At 46.2% G+C, this 15,787-nt stretch overlaps 1 protein-coding gene across 11 annotated transcripts in view, besides 1 other annotated feature; it reads left to right on the forward strand.

Moving 5' to 3' along the window:
- Positions 1–15,787, forward strand: part of KAZN (kazrin, periplakin interacting protein) — a 1,225,220-nt gene that overhangs the window by 773,294 nt on the left and 436,139 nt on the right. The gene's annotated exons all lie outside the window — the stretch shown is intronic.
- Positions 12,036–12,200: a silencer, noted in NCBI's record as "fragment chr1:15004649-15004813 (GRCh37/hg19 assembly coordinates)". NCBI's record gives its function as "represses an EF-1alpha promoter that drives an FKBP-Casp9 reporter gene in an ReSE screen in phorbol 12-myristate 13-acetate-treated (for megakaryocytic differentiation) K562 erythroleukemia cells {active_cell/tissue: K562(+PMA)}" and the evidence as "EXISTENCE:reporter gene assay evidence [ECO:0000049][PMID:32094911]".

A 15,787-nucleotide genomic window follows, 5' to 3' on the forward strand; every position in this document is an offset into this window, starting at 1 on the left:
CCGAAAGAATAGAGCCTCCTACCCCAACTTCTGGCCCCCTTTCCCTGCCGTCTCAGCGAGGATCTGTGTATCTACCAGAGAAGATCTCGTGTGTGGTTATTATAGAAGTGATTGAATATGGGACAAAGCATTATGGTCTTGTTGGGTGAGTCGGTATCAGCAGGATTTGTAGAGGGTTTTGTTTTCTTCTCCTCGCCCCCTTTCCCTGTTCTTTGTAATGTCTGTGTTTACAGGAATAGGACTTGCATTTGCTTGTCTATAATAAAGAAGTTATTAATTGGATTAAAAAGAAGGGAAAGGTTTTCAAGGAGGGAAACCAAGAGATTCAGAATTTGGGGAGTTGCATGTAATTAAAATATTCATTTCCTGTGGCTGCCAGAACAAATTCCTACAAATTGAATCACTTAAGGCAGCAGAACGTTACTGTGTCTGTTGAGAAAGCTGGAAGTACAAGATCCAGGTGTCCACAAGGATACACGCCCTCTGAAGCCTCTGGGGGAGGATACTTCCTTGCCTCTTTCGGCTTCTGGTGGCTCCAGACACTCCTTGGCTTGTAGCAACGTCACTCCAGTCCCTTTCTCCCTTTCACGGGGCCTTCTCCGTGCCTCTGAGTCCTCTCCTCTTCTTTTTTTAGTTTTTGAGACAGAGTCTCACTCTGTCGCCAAGCTGGAGTGCAGTGGCATGGTCTTGACTCACTGCAACCTCAGCCTCCTGGGTTCAAGTGACTCCTGCCTCAGCCTCCCGAGTAGCTGGGACTACAGGCGTGCGCCACCACACCCAGCTAATTTTTGTAGTTTTAGTAGAGATGGGGTTTCACTGTGTTGGCCAGGATGCTCTCGATCTCTTGACGTCGTGATCCGCCCACTTCGGCCTCCCAACCTGTCCTCTTCTTATAAGAGAACCAACCGTTGAATTTAAGGCCCACCCTAAATCCAGGAAGACGTCATCTCAAGATTCTTAACTAATCCCATCTGCGAAGATGCTTTTCCAAATAAGTTTTCCATTCTGAGATTCCAGATGGATGTGAATTTTTTGTGGACACCATTGAACACACTCTGGCTGTTTACTCCATCTGCCAGCTGGGATACTCACAGGACAGATGAGGAAAGTGAAGCATACGGAGCCCTGGCTGTCCATGGAAATAGAACAGAGTCCATCAGCATCCTCAGAGCACATGGTTTTCAGCTCTCCTTGAAGGCGCGGACCTCCAGAAGGGTTCACGTCACCTTGATGAGGGGACTCGAAGGTGAATTTGCACTGGGTTCCCTTTCAGCCAAGCATCAGTTTGCTCCAACCTCTTGAGCACACAGAAGTTGAGAAAAATTGTTATTTTAGCAAGAACACTAGAGGACTGTGCTGTTCTCTGAACCACGTTCATCTGATTATGCATTTGAGGGTATGAATTAATCCACGACACAGGAACACTGAATAAGTTGTGCTTTGCCAGTCGGGCTGCCTGTGTTTTATCTGAACAAAACATCTGACTTTAACCCCAGGCAGATTTCTCTTCAGGTTGTAATTATTCTGGAACAAACAGAGAATTTGGGAAGGGGCATCCCAGTGGGAACAATGATACCTCCTGTGTGGAAGGATTCCCACTGGAAATTTTCAAAACACAGTGTACTGAAGTTGACCCGGATAACTGCTGGCTGCAATCCAGCTTACCCTCTTTTATGTAGATGAGTTCTCAAAAAAAAAAAAAAAGAATGAAAATAATTTCATTTTCAGATTAGATACCATTCTATACAACTCGGAGTGATCAAATCGCTCCTTGAAGCCAAACCGGAACAAAACCCAGATTCTCTACACTTAACACCTTAAATCCATCTTCTTCATCTTCCTTTTGAAAATGAAAATCCTTTAAGCTCCAGGCGCAGGAATAAACACTGATGTGACTGTTGCTCAGATAGGAAGATTACCAGGGAAAAAAACACCAATTCTGAGGTTGCTTTCAAATGCTATGATTGTATGGCCCCAAAGGGACTCTTCTACACCTCTAAATAAATTCTTCCACTATTAACGAGAAGGAAAATGAGAGGGAAATGAAAGTCTCCGAGAAACCTGGGAACTTCATATGTAATTTCCTTTCTTGCAAATAGAAGGCCCTTGAATCAAAACTTTTCATGCAGGCCCCTTTCACTCTGGCCTGCTCTGTGGGAACCTATTCTGCTTCAGAAGTTTATTGAACTGAACGTCCCTGGGTGAGTCCATCAGCGGTTCATGGCTGTCCTTTGTCCCAGCTTTCCAGTCCTATGTGAAGTGGCAGGAAAAGGAATTTGGGCCCGTATCTCAGATGAGGAAGCTGAGGTCTAAAGGCACAAAGAGACCTCAGAAGGTCTCCTCACCCAAGTGCTGAGTTCTTTCTCGGGAGTAGCCAGTGGACTTGAAAAAGGGTCGATTTTGCCCCTCTCCCAGAGCCCACCTGGGGAAAGGGCCGAATCCCTTCTTCCTGTTTCCCCTCCTCCTTCCCCACCTGTCCCTCCCCACTTCCTCTCTCTTCTTCTCTGTGAAGCAGGAGGTGTTGCCTCCTCCCCTCCCTGCTAGGATGTTGATGCTGCTTTAAAAATCTGTCAGCAGCTGCTCCCCAGGCCTCCGTAAGGTGATAGTTTGTCGCAGGAATTCAGACTGTAAACGTCATCTCCCCTTCTGCGACATGCATCTGAGAGCTCCTATTTTTGAAAAAATAATAGAATAGGTGCATGCTAATGGCATGAAGCCGGCTGCAGCTCACGCAGCTTGACATCAATTTGTAACTGCAATATGTTATATATTGAAAAGGAGTTTGCGTTTGGAATTCTCTTCTCCCAGAGCAGTACATAGAATAGAAACCATGCAGAGACCCCGGAGACCCTTTCAGACAGAGAACATTTATCATGGCCTTGGACAAAGGGGGATTTTCAAAGGTTTATGCTATTCGTAAACATCTTTTAACCCATTGTTATCAAGGTGTTTCTTCTATTGCTTGGAAATGATGGGAAACTGAAGACACAGAGTGGGACCTTTATTCAAGGCTAGGAGTTGGCCTGGGGTGCAGCCACCATCCACCTCCACCCCAACTTGGGAAGCCCTGGCTCTCTTCTGTGAGAGGATGGATTTTGTTAGCATCTCCAGTCTGCTGAAAAGGGGCCGTCTGGGCTCTGGAGCTTTCCTGTGAGCTGGCTGAGTGCTCTGGGTTGCTATTAGGAGCCAGTAGGTAAAGGTCAGGGGAGGCTGCCAAACATCCCACAATGAACAAGACAGTCTCCCCACAACAAGGAACTATCTGACCCCAAATGTCCACAGTGCCAAGGTTGAAAAACCCTGCTCTAATTCAACCCTTTTGATTTCCAAATAGTAGAACCAAGAGCTGGGCGCGGTGGCTCACACCTCTAATCCCAGCACTTTGTGAAGCTGAGCGGGGAGGATTGTTTGAGGCCAGGAGTTTGAGAACAGCCTGGGCAACATATCAAGACCCCATCTCTACACAAAAATGTTTAAAAATTAGCCAGGTACAGTGGTGTGCACCTATAGTCCCAGCTACTCAGGAGGCTGGGATGGGAGGATCGCTTGAGCCCAAGAGTTTGAGGCTGCAGTGAGCCAAGATCGTGTCATTGCATTCCAGCCTTGGTGACAAAATGAGAGCCTGTCTCTAAGAAACAAACAAACAAAAAACAAATAATAAAACCGAGGCCCTGTGAACCTCGTCTCCAATATTAAAACCTCTCCCAGCTGAAACCATCCTTTGTATGTGTATTTTAAAATAGTTCAGTGCAATGAGAATTAATGAACAACTGACCAACTTTTCCTGGGTACCGCCAATCTATCAGAGGCTACCAAGAAGTACAAATCTGCCCTCAAGATTACCATTGACTTGAGGAGTCATCTTTAAAAGAGAACAGCCATATAAGATGGCATCCCCTGTACAATGGCAAACTGGTGGCCCCTAGCTGATCTGGTCTATGTAGATACTTTATTTGGCCCGAGAGTCTTCTCCCTTCCCTTCCCTCCCCAGCCCTCCCCTCCCCTTTTTCATTCCCTTCCCTTTTTCCTTCCCTTCTTCCATCCTGCTTTTAGGCAAAAACTTAGACTCTTTAGTATACTATAAGTTTCTCTCCCCACAAGATAGTTCATCTTTACCAGCCCCAGAGGTGCAAGCCCACCTCCTGAAGGCATTTGTGTTTGTGTCCTCCTAGTCAAAGGCAGGGGTATTCAAGCCTGAGCGAGCCTCAGAGGCACCTGGAAGCCTCGTTGAAAACAGGTTGCTGGGTCCCACCCTAGAGCTTCTGCTACCTTCTGCTTCAGTAGGTCTGAGGTGGGGCCTGCTGATTTACGTTCCTAACACGTACCTAGGTGATGCTGCTGCCACTGCTCCAGGGGCTACACTTTGAGAACTCAAGGATTCTCAAATGATAGTATGCATCAGAGTTACCTGGGGAGCAGGTGAAAGCCCCGGATACCATGAACTCATCCCCTCTGATTCTGATTCAGTAGATCTGGGGAGGGGCCTGGGCATCCCTACTTTGAACAGGCCTTCCAAATGAGCCCGATTCATACCAAGAATTTGAGAATCATTGCCCTTAAGAGTCCAATAAGTGGTATAGGCCAGTGCATGTGGATTTGAATCTCTTGTTAAAACACAGATGCTGATTCAGTAGGTCTGGGCTCAAGGCCTGAGATTCTGCATTTCTGGTTAGTTCTCAGGTGACCCCTGTGCAGCTGGTCCAGGTGCCACACTTTGAACAGCAAGGGATAGTCCAGTGTTTCTCGACAAGGGGTGACTTACCTTCTGAGGAACATTTGACAATGTCTGAAAACATTTTTAGTAATCACGGCTGGAGGGTGGGGAAAATTCTACTGGCATCCGGTGGGTGGAGGCCATAGATGATGTCAAACATCCCACAGTGCACAGGAAAAACAAAAGATTCAATCCCAGAATTGGAATAGTGCTGAGGTTGAGAGGTCCTGTGGTAGAAAAAGGCATTGAGAAGTTGCCTAATCACAGATGTTGAGCCAGGGTGGTCAGTGAAGGCTTCCTGGAGGAGGGGGTACTTAAATGAGGGCTGTTGTCCAATATTTGGTTTATCTAGGGTCTCCCTTCTCCACAGCGCATGCTGCTATCTAATATATATTTAACTTACATGTCTTACTTACAGCATTTCCCCTGCTAGAATGCAAACTTCAGAAGGGTTAGAACATCTGGTTGGTTCATTTAGGTATCTGCAGTACCAAGAACAGTGCCTGGCACATAGTAGGTGCTCAGTAAATAGTAAATGAATGAGTGAATGGCAGAGTCTTTGGAGAAACAGAAAGGAGGCTGGTGCTGGGTCACGTACTGGGGGAGATGGCAAAATTATTTGTGTCATCATTCTTTCACTCCCCCATTCACAAAACATATTAAAGACCTGCTTTGCACCAGCTCCCTAGGCACAAACCCTTGATCTGTTCTTCGTCAAGGCTATGAGATAGGCCCACCACTTATTTATTGCTTTTCAGACATTGAGAGAAGGGCAGTAGAATTTCCCCCCGTGGGCAAAGGGCCCATCCTTTTTTTTTTAAAGGACTGTTTGAAACATCCTAATTTTATGATGCCAGCAAAGGAATCTCTGTATATGATAAAGAAAAGTAAAAATGAAAACAAATGTTTATATCTCTTTTCAATTCACTGCTTTTCTTTTTTAACCTCATTTCCATCCAGAAAGTTCTTGCCCCGTATTTTTTGAAAATTGGAAAATCAGACCCTTAATTTATGTGTCTGCATTTGCTAGAGTGAGCGGAGGAGTGTGGATTCAAAGGGCCTCTTTTTAGAACATTCCATTTTCCCATTAGCGCAAGCCTCTGAGGCACCTTTGTGCTACTCTCTTTAGAAAAGAGAATATTACAAAAACACGTTCTAATTATTGTTGGCCTTTCATTACTTTAGAGCTTCTGCACAGCCTAGAAATGAACATCCTTGCCTCAGAATTTTGTCCTTATTTTTTTTTTCTTTTGGGAGATGTGTCATCCCTACAGGGCTATTTATGAAGCCCAAGCTGGCAGAATTTGTCTAATGTGCGTAATGTAGAAGAGGCCAACACCATAATGAAAGGAGCACCTCTGAGCTCATTTGCATTCCCCCAGCTGGTTGGGAAACAAAAGCCCACTCCGTGCTACACTTCATGGTTCACTTATTGTGGTTCATTTCCTCCAAATCGAGTGGTAGGTTAAAAAGAAAAGAAAGTCAAGTCTTTTCTGCAGTGTCCTCTGCCCGGCATTCACAGCTGGGTTTTAATGTGGACAGGTTGTTGTTGCATCTGGAGAAGGAAGAGTCTTTGAACATGATGTGGCCCGAACCCTCCCTTTCGACAGGTCAATTCCATAACAGTCTGGCTCTTTCTCGAAGAGCTCCCAAGGCCGAGGATCATTGAAAGCTCAGTCGTTTTAGATCCCGCCCAAAGAATCAGCTCTCTCCTCTCTGGCTGTGTCCAGTGTATTACCTGTTGGTATCCAGGCACTTAGGTGTGGGTGGAAGAATTGCTCTCTGACAAGTTTCAGCAGACACAGAATTTATCAAAGGCTGTCAGGGGGCTCACAGAATCCAGAAGGTCAGAGAACCAGGTTCGGAGCAGCTACACAGCAGGAACAATGCCCAGACCCCATTGCAGGATTGCTTTGCGGAGACAGCAGCACTGCCATTGCTGAGCACAGGCACCAAAAAGTGTGGCCCTGACACCATACACCAACAGCCACCTCTAAGCTGCTGTCACTGCTGTCTCTGGGCACAGGATAGGGCTACCATAGCCTTCTCCGAGATCTGTCTGATGCCCTCTTCTCTGAGCCACAAGCTTCTACCTCAGAGTCTGGCTTAGGCACAGCCTGATCGTTGGATCCCAGGCCACGTGCAAAAGAGGCCGAGAACGTTTCTGGCTTTTAATTTGGAAAGATGTAGGCTTATAACATTGGGGAACTCCTGAAACAAAAATGGTGTTCAAAGATCAGCGTGGCCCAAAAGAATGACAGATGCCCATTAGCCTAGGAAGGCCTTACCTTGGTACATTATATCACAGCTGGAGGTTACAGGGCAGCAAGAGACGGAGGCCCTTCAAAGGATTGCCACTGTCCCTGTGTCCCATCACAGGCTCAACTGCACTGAGATTTTACCAGCCCCCCTCTTCCAGTCCTTGACTGAAGGTGGATTCTGCGAGGAACTGACCAGGGCTGGCCCTGGATGGACACATAACCATGCCTACAACCCACAGCAAAGCTTCTTGGACACCCAGGTGGTGGTTTCAAAGTGGCCCATTGCACTGAGCCTTTGTTTCCTTCTTGGAAGCAACAGCCGTGGGCTTGTGATAATTTGATTGTTTTGAAATGGGAACAAGTGACTGCCTGAAGAAGGGCATGCATGATGTGAAGGCAGTTTGAAGAATGCCTGAAATTCAGAACGTCAGGGAGGAAGCGTCCTTCGAGATCATCAGGGCCAGCCCCTGCATTTCACAGTAGGAGCAGCTGGAGAAGGAAGACGTGTTGTTGGATCCATCAGCTGCTGTTGGATCCATTGTGCTGCCTCAAGGATGCAGGCTGTGGAAACAGGGAGCTGCAGATGCCTGAGTGACTTTGACAGAAACTTACCAGGAATTGACGTAGTTTAACATATTTATCAAACAAAATCTTTGCTGAATTCTTGGCGCCGGTCAACCCCTTCCCCTTCCCTCCGTGTGCTTTCTCTTCCCAGGCTAAGGAGTCTTAACACCTTAATGTTCAGAATCTCAGAGAAGGTCCTGTGTGTCATCAAGTCCAGGGATTCTCAAAGTCCTCAGTCCTCCTTTGTCAGATTCACCACTGGACTTTGGTTAGAAGCAAAATTCCTGAATCACTCTGCAGTGATGCCCAGGGATGTGAGTTTTTACAAAAGCTTCTCAGGTTATTTGTAAGCACGTTGAAATTCAAGAACCCGTAGATCTAATCCAAACTCCTCATCTTATGCATGGGGAAATGGAGACTCAGAAGAGAAGTACAGAAACTTGCTCAAAGGTGAACAGATGGCCACTAGCAGAGCTGAGCCTAGAATTTTCTTATTCATATTTCTAGTCCTTTATTTCTGACTCTGATCTTCTGGCTTCTCCAGCAGATCTCTTTTTTTGTATCTAAATTAGGTGGCATTGAAAGTCAACAGCAGAACTGAAAGTGAGCCCTGTTTTATGCCAAGAAGATCTTTCCTGCAAAGTTGTGAGATGCATTTGCTCTTAAATGCAGCTGTGGTCACCAAAAGAACCATGAACCAGCTCTGTTGAGGATTTGATCAGTTTAGTGGACTCGTTGCTGAAAGCAAAGGTCACCCTGGGCTCCTGGAAGGAAGGGGCACTTTCTACATGCCAGATGAGTGCTTAGTGGCTTACACACCTCCCCTGTAATACTCTCCACCTTCTTCAGGGATACATGCTACCTTCCCCAGGTAGATTTTATTCATGCAACCCTAGACCTTGCCACTCACCAGGACGAGTTAGGCACTTCTAAGCTTAAGCGGAGGACAAAGGCCAAATGTCTTGACCACTTGTCCTTGTTCACTCTGGGATGCTGCTATTGATGTTTCTTTGGCAGTGTAACTGGGTCCTGTAGCTGAAAGTAGACAGAGATTCAGTTTAAAAGGAAAATTAACTGGAAATCATTTTATCTCCAGATGTGCCCAATGCAATTTTATCTTGTTTTCTTTTCTTTTCTTTTCTTTTTTTTTAAGACTGGGTCATTCTGTTGCCCAGGCTGGAGTGTAGTGGTGCAATCATAGCTCACTGCAGCTGCGAACTCCTGGGTTAAAGCCATCTTCCCACCTCAGCCTCCTGAGCACCTGGGACTACAGACACGCACCACCACACCCAGCTATTTTTATTTTATTTTTGTAGGAACAAAATCTTACTGTGTTGCCCAGGTTGGTCAGGATAATTTTATCTTCAAGGCTCCCACATTCCCTCACTCCGAGGTGCCCTGTGCTGGCATTGAGGTCAGTCTCGTGGTGTTAGTTATTTAGATGTGACTACACTGTTTGGTGTGGCACATTGGGGCAGCTGGTTTATTCCTCCTACCAAGGATGTCCTGGCTGCCTGGAGCAAGAGCCACAGGCTGCCACCAGGCCCCACTGCCTTCACACCAAGAGGGCAGCAGGATGGGGTTGTCTGACGTTGAACTTGAAGTAGGATTGGGTTGAACTGACTGTTGAACTGGAAGTCAAGTTCTCAGAGTGCGTCTGGGATACTCAGCATCAGGAGAGGGCCCGCAGGGCAACCCTCAGACATCTGGTAGGAAATGAGCTCCAGGGCACTTGGGGGTGTTCTCTTTGAAAATATTTCCCTCTTATTTTCACTGCTATTTTTTGCAATGTTTGTCCTTCTACTTGGAAGATTCTCCTGGGTCTTTCATGCCTGTGTCCTCAGTGCCTGGACAAGTGTGTGGCATCCAGTCAAGGAGGGCAGGAGGCTGATATCCCCCACCTGCCTCTCCCCACTCCAATCTACCATCTCATTTCTTTATTATGTCCTGTTTTCTCTTTTTTGGCATGCCTATTACCCATCTCCATCATTAGAACTTACATTTCAGAGCTGAACTCGGTCTTCTTCTAATCATTCCATGCCTGATACCCTGTAGATACACAGTAAATATTCTGGGGAGTGGATGTTAAGTAAAAGTACGTGCTCAATAATTGTTTGTTCATTGCTTGAGAAATGGGGACTTTGGGGGAATAGCCAAGGTTGTTCTCAGAGAACCTTCTGGCCCTGTGTTTGATAGAATAGAGAGTCCCCTCTTGCCTTGTGGATTATTTTCATTTTCTGTTGCTCTGAGTGGCAGTGACTTTCCCTTTGGCCCTGCTCTACACCCCGAGTATGGTTGGCCCCCTCCAAGTCTAAGCACAGGACATCTGAAAAAGGGGCCAAAATATAGGGGAGGTGAAGGAGATGCTGACCGGACGTGTTGGGAATGAAGGGGGAGAGTGACCAGCACCTGCAACTTGAGAATCCTCAGGAAAAGACCCAGGGATGAGATTTGGTTGTTCCTGGTTTTTTTTCCGGTTTGAAAGAGCTGTTTTCCCTCCTCGGATGCTGGCATTGATCCACTTTGAATTAGCTGTTGACTCCCTACTGGGATTACCAAGAAGATGATCTTTAATTACACTCCTTCCCCTGCCTGCAAGGCCAAGCTGAAATGATCTGTCATATTCTGTTGGATTCCCTCTATATGCAAAATGTCAGGTCCTTCTTGTCTAACCCAGAGACATTGAGCTTGAGGTTAGGAGGATCGACTTTGATTCCCTAGCCTGTGTCTAGCCAGCTAAGCAGCCTTACCTAGGGAGGCCACTTCACGTCCCTGAGCCTCAGTTCCCGTCTCTGTGATAGAAAAGATGATGCTTGCTCTGTCCTCCTGCAGGGAAGGTTGTAAAGACTGAATAAAATAATGAATGGGAGCTAAAAAGTGGAGACAACCCAAATGTCCATGAGTTGATGAGTGGGTAAACAGAATGTGGTATATCCATACAACGGAGTATTATCCGGCAGTGAAAAGGAATGAAGCAGTGATTCATGCCACAGCATGGATGAACCTTGAAAACATCATGCTAAAGGGAAAAAGCCAGACACAAAAGGCCATATATTGTATGATCCCATTTATATGAAATGTCCAGAACAGGCAAATCCATAGAGTTGGAAAGCAGATTGGTGGGTGCCAGGAGCTATGGGGAGGGGAGAATGGGGAGTGACTGCTAATAGGGATAGAGTTTCTTTTGGGGCTGATGAAAATGTTCTGGAATTATGGAGTAGTGATGGTTGCAGAACTTTGTGAGTATACTAAAAACCACTGAATTGTATACTTTAAAAGGGTGAATTTTAGGGTATAAGTATTATATCACAATAATAAAATTAACACACATATAGGAAAGGACTGAGTAAGCTATAGGATCCATAGCATTGGAGTGTTACCATCATCAACAGCATCCTCTTCATATTCTAGCATTTATTTAGTGCCAACTGTGTGCCCAGCAGTATGACAAGAGCAGTGCATACCTCTCTTTGTGTCATCTTTGTTTTGTAAAGAAGACCGAGGATTAGAGAAGTGAAGGCCCATGATCAAGGTTACAGGTTACAGGGCTATTAAGGGGCTGCCTGGACCGCAAAGCCTAGACCCTTCCCATTATCCCATGCTGCTATCTCACTTCAAGGGCTTCTGAGGGATAATGATATAACTTATTTTTTGGAGACCTAGCCATTGTTTAACTTAAAATGGTTCTTAGGACTTCACTGGTGATACCCAAGACTCCCATTGGAAAGGCAGAAATATCTGCCTGGTCAGTGTAAGTGAACCTTCCAAGCTGTAGAAATTGACTGGCTCATGAGTGACTCACCCATGAGACTAGCCAGTGGTCTCTTTGGCCTGTGGGGTAAGAGTGGACTCCAAGAATTCTGAGAGGTGATGACAGACTCTAAGACACCCCAGGGGCCCATTTTCAGACCTTGGCGATGACAGGCACCTACCCAGAGGCTTAGGAAGACCATCCCAGGGTTCCTCTGGGAAGGGTTGAAAATCAGCTTTGCAATCACATCATGTGGAGAGGAGGACACTTCCAGGCCTTGGGAATTATTTATTGATGGGATTCCCTTGAGCCTGCTCCCATCTGTGAAGAGAGACCGAGGATGTGGCCTGCTAAGTCCAGAATAGCCAGGGTCTGCACCAGTATATCAAAAAGCTGCTGAGTGGAGACAGAAAACTCTGTAACTGTCAATGGGGTATGCAGAGTACAGCAGCCCCTCAGGGGAGGTCCCAGAACCTCCCAGGTGTCCATGCAGCTGGTATGTGTGCTTTACGGAGAAAACACAGATAGCTTGTGCAGAAATGGGCTGTTTGGGGGCCCTGAGCTGCTCCTCATGCCCTACGAAGTCTGACCCCAGAATTGGGAGTGACTGTCTGGTGTGGCAGAAGGGACTGAGAGGCAAGGGGCTCTGGCACCTCTGATGGTTAAATTAAGTGTCGACTGGATTGGACTGAAGATGCAAAGTATTGTTTCTGGGTGTTGCCGGAAGAGATTAACATTTGAGTCAGTGGACTGGGAGAGGAAGACCTGCCCTCAGGAAGACCCACCCACAGGGTGGGTGGGCACTAGCCAATCAGCTGCCAGCGCGACTAGAAAAAGCAGGCAGAAGAAGGTGGAAGAAGCTGACTTGCTGAGTCTTCCGGCCTTCATCTTTCTCCCGTACTGGAGGCTTCCTACCCTCGAACATCAGACTCCAAGTTCTTAGGTTTTTGGACTCTTGGACTTAACACCAGTGGTTTGCGAGGGGCTCTCGGGCCTTTGGCCACAGACTGCAGGCTGCACTGTTGACTTCCCTACTTTTGAGGTTTTGGGACTTGGACCGAGCCACTGCTGGCTTCCTTGCTCCTCAGCTTGCAGGCGGCCTATCGTGGGACTTTACCCTGTGATCGTGTGAGTCAATTCTCCTTAATAAAGTCCCTTTTGTATATACATATGCCTATTAGCTCTATCCCTCTAGAGAACCCTGACTAATATAGCACCTTAGCTCCAGCTCCCATGGGCTGTTTGATGCAGGGCGAGCCCCTTCCCCTCTCAGGCTCAGGTTTCATTATTTACTACAGATGGTGTTAAACTGCAAAACCAGTGAGTCCACCTTTACTCAGCAAGCCTTTGCTATGGCCCTACTCTTTGCCTGGCTCTCAGCAAGGGGATGGGGATATAATGGTGGATATAATATAGCCCTTATGTAATATATCCCGTATGTAATAGGGGATATATAGATGGGGATATAATAGGACCGAAAAAGGGCATCAGCCTCACCTTTTTGGAGCTTACAGGTTAGTGAGGGAACCAGAGATTAATTACATAATCCCAAAAACGTATAATTACAGATTGTGGTAAATGCTGTGAAAAAGCAGCAAATGTTTCTGTTAATGCACAGACTTTACCTTTTGCAAGCCTACTATGTGCCAGACACTCGTCACGCTTGTATAAAATGTACCTGGAATTTTGCCTTTATTCGGGTATGGTGAAGTCCATAAATCAAGAGACAATTACCGTTGAAAATATAGTTTGTTACTTACAGTTCTCAAGAGAAGCGGGCAGGCCAGGCCATGTAGGGCCGCATGAGGAAGTACCAGGGTCGGTTAGCAGGCTGAAGGAGGCAAGGGGAAAGCCTGGGCCAGAGCTTTTGTTGGGTCTTTTTTTTTTTGGAAGGAATAGGCAAGGCAGAGTAAGTACACCAAGTAAGTTTAGGATTGGATTGTTTGAATAACTTAGTTGAGCTCTGGGGTGCAGGGGTGGTCCCTTTTTGTTGAATGCCTGGCCCTGGGGTGATATGGGGTAGGGGGAATATTGGTTTGGTATGTGACAGTTTGATAAAGGCAGTGGTAGGGGCTGTGGGTTCCGGATTGGTTGATTTGCATAGCAAAGGTGCGTTCACAGGCAGGTTGTTTGCTGTCTCTAGGAACTAACACTCCCTCCCCAGGTCTGAAAGGCACCAAGATGTCCAAGCATTGTAAACTCTAGAAAATAAAAAACATGACCAATCAGGTGCCTTACGTGTTTGTATTGACCTTTTAAATCCTCACATTTGCCCTGTGAGGTAGGTACTAGTGACAGCAGCATCCCCATTGTTCAGATAGGGAAACTGAGGCTTAGAGAGGTAAGAAACATGCCCAAGGTCACTTGGCTAGTCGGATAGGCATCAGGTTTTGAACCCAGACAGTCATGCTCCACCACTGGGGCGCCTCAGAATCTCATTCCTGTCTCGGTCTTGTCTTGTTGAGCATAATAAGTGAGGAGTGATTTGTGGCTAAGGCTCAAGGAGGCACCACTTGTGTCAAGGGTGAAGGATGCAGTGAGGAAGGAAAGGCTTTGAGACCAACAGGACAAGAGGGAGAAGGTGGCTGGGGCACAGCTGACCATGCAACTCGCCTGTGGAATGTTTAAAGCCGGCAGATGCTGGGCCCCCACTCCAGACCTACTAAACCAGAATCTCTCTGGGAGGTGATATTTTTAATTAAATTCCCTGAGTGACTCTTTTTAAAATTATCTTTTTAAAAAAATTACGGTATGATTCACATACAGTGAAATGCACAGATCTTAAATGTACGGTTTGATGAGTTTTGACAAGTGCATACACTGATGGTAATTCACACCCCTACCAAGACACGGAATCTTTCCCTCATCCTGGAAAACGCCTTTGTGCTCCTTCCCAGTCCGTTCCTACGTAGCCCTCCCCCTACTCCTGCAGCTATGGCTCTGAGTTCTATCAGTATAGATTAGTTTTGCCTGATCTAGAACTTTATCTACGTGGATCCTAGAGTATGTGTACTTTTATGTTGGGCTGCTTTCACTCAGCAAAATATTTTTTTTTATTATTTAAGTTCTGGGATACGTGTGCAGAATGTGCAGGTTTGCTACACAGGTATATATGTGCCATGGTGGTTTGCTGCACCCATCAACCCGTCACCTAGGTTTTAAGCCCCACAGAATAGGTATTTGTCCTAATGCTGTCCCTCCCCTTGCCTCCCAACTCCCAACAGGCCCCGGTGTGTGATGTTCCCCTCCCTATGTCCGTGTGTTCTCATTGTTTAACTCCCATTTATGAGTGAGAACATGTGGTGTTTGGTTTTCTGTTCCTGTGTTAGTTTGAGATTCATCTAAGTTGTTGTGTGTTTCAGTAGTTCATTCATTTTGTAGCTGAGGAGTATTACATGGTATGGTGTGTTTTAGGCTGTTGTTGCATTGCTGTAAGGAAATACGTGAGACTCGGTAATTTAGAAAGAAAAGAGCCTTCATTGGCTCCTGGTTCTGCAGGCTCTACAAGAAGCATGGTGCTGGCGTGCTTGGCTTCTGAGGAGGGCCTCAGGTAGCTTACAGTCATGGCAGAAGATGTAGAGGGAACAGGCACGTTACAGGCAAAAGGAAGAGCAAGAGAGAGAATTAGCAGGAGGTGGCACACATTTCAAGCCACTAGATCTCCTGTGAACTCAGAAGGGGAGCTCCCTCATCATCAAGGGGGCTGCCCAAGTCATTCCTGAGGGATCCGCCCCCATGATCCAAACACCTCCCACCAGGCCCCACTTCCAACACTGGGGGTTACATCGCAACATGAGGTTTGGGTGGGGACAAATACCTACACTATATCATGTGGCTATGCCACAGTTTATCTATTCATTCTCCTATTGATGGACACTTGGATTGTTTCCAGTTTGGGCTACTCGGAGTAAAGCTACTATGGACATTTGTGTTCAAGTCTTTTTGTGGACATATGTTTTCATTTCTCCTGGGTAAATATCTAGGACTGGAATGGTGAGGTTGCCCGTGGGTGACTCATTGCAGCCAGCCCAACACTGACATTTCAGAAACTCTGGACAGACCAACTCATGACTGTAATTCTTTTGAGCTCCAAAACTCCATTTTCAGCTTGAAAGTGGCATTTGCAGTTGCTACATTTTTTTTAATGGTGGTAAAATAGACATAACATAAAATTTGCCATTTTAACTATATATATATGTATATGTGTATATATATATATATATATATATATATATATATATATATATATATTTTTTTTTTTTTTTTTTTTTTTTTTTTTTTTTTTTTGAGACGGAGTCTCGCTCTGTCGCCCAGGCTGGAGTGCAGTGGCGCAATCTTGGCTCACTGCAAGCTCCGCCTCCCGCCTCCCGGGAGGCGTTCTCCTGCCATTCTCCTGCCTCAGCATCCACGAGTAGCTGGGACTACAGGCGCCCGCCACCACACCCAGCTAATTTTTTGTATTTTTAGTAGAGACAGGATTTCACCATGTTAGCCAGG

The sequence above is a fragment of the Homo sapiens genome, chromosome 1 (genome assembly GCF_000001405.40).
Source record: "Homo sapiens chromosome 1, GRCh38.p14 Primary Assembly".
NCBI lineage: Eukaryota > Metazoa > Chordata > Mammalia > Primates > Hominidae > Homo > Homo sapiens.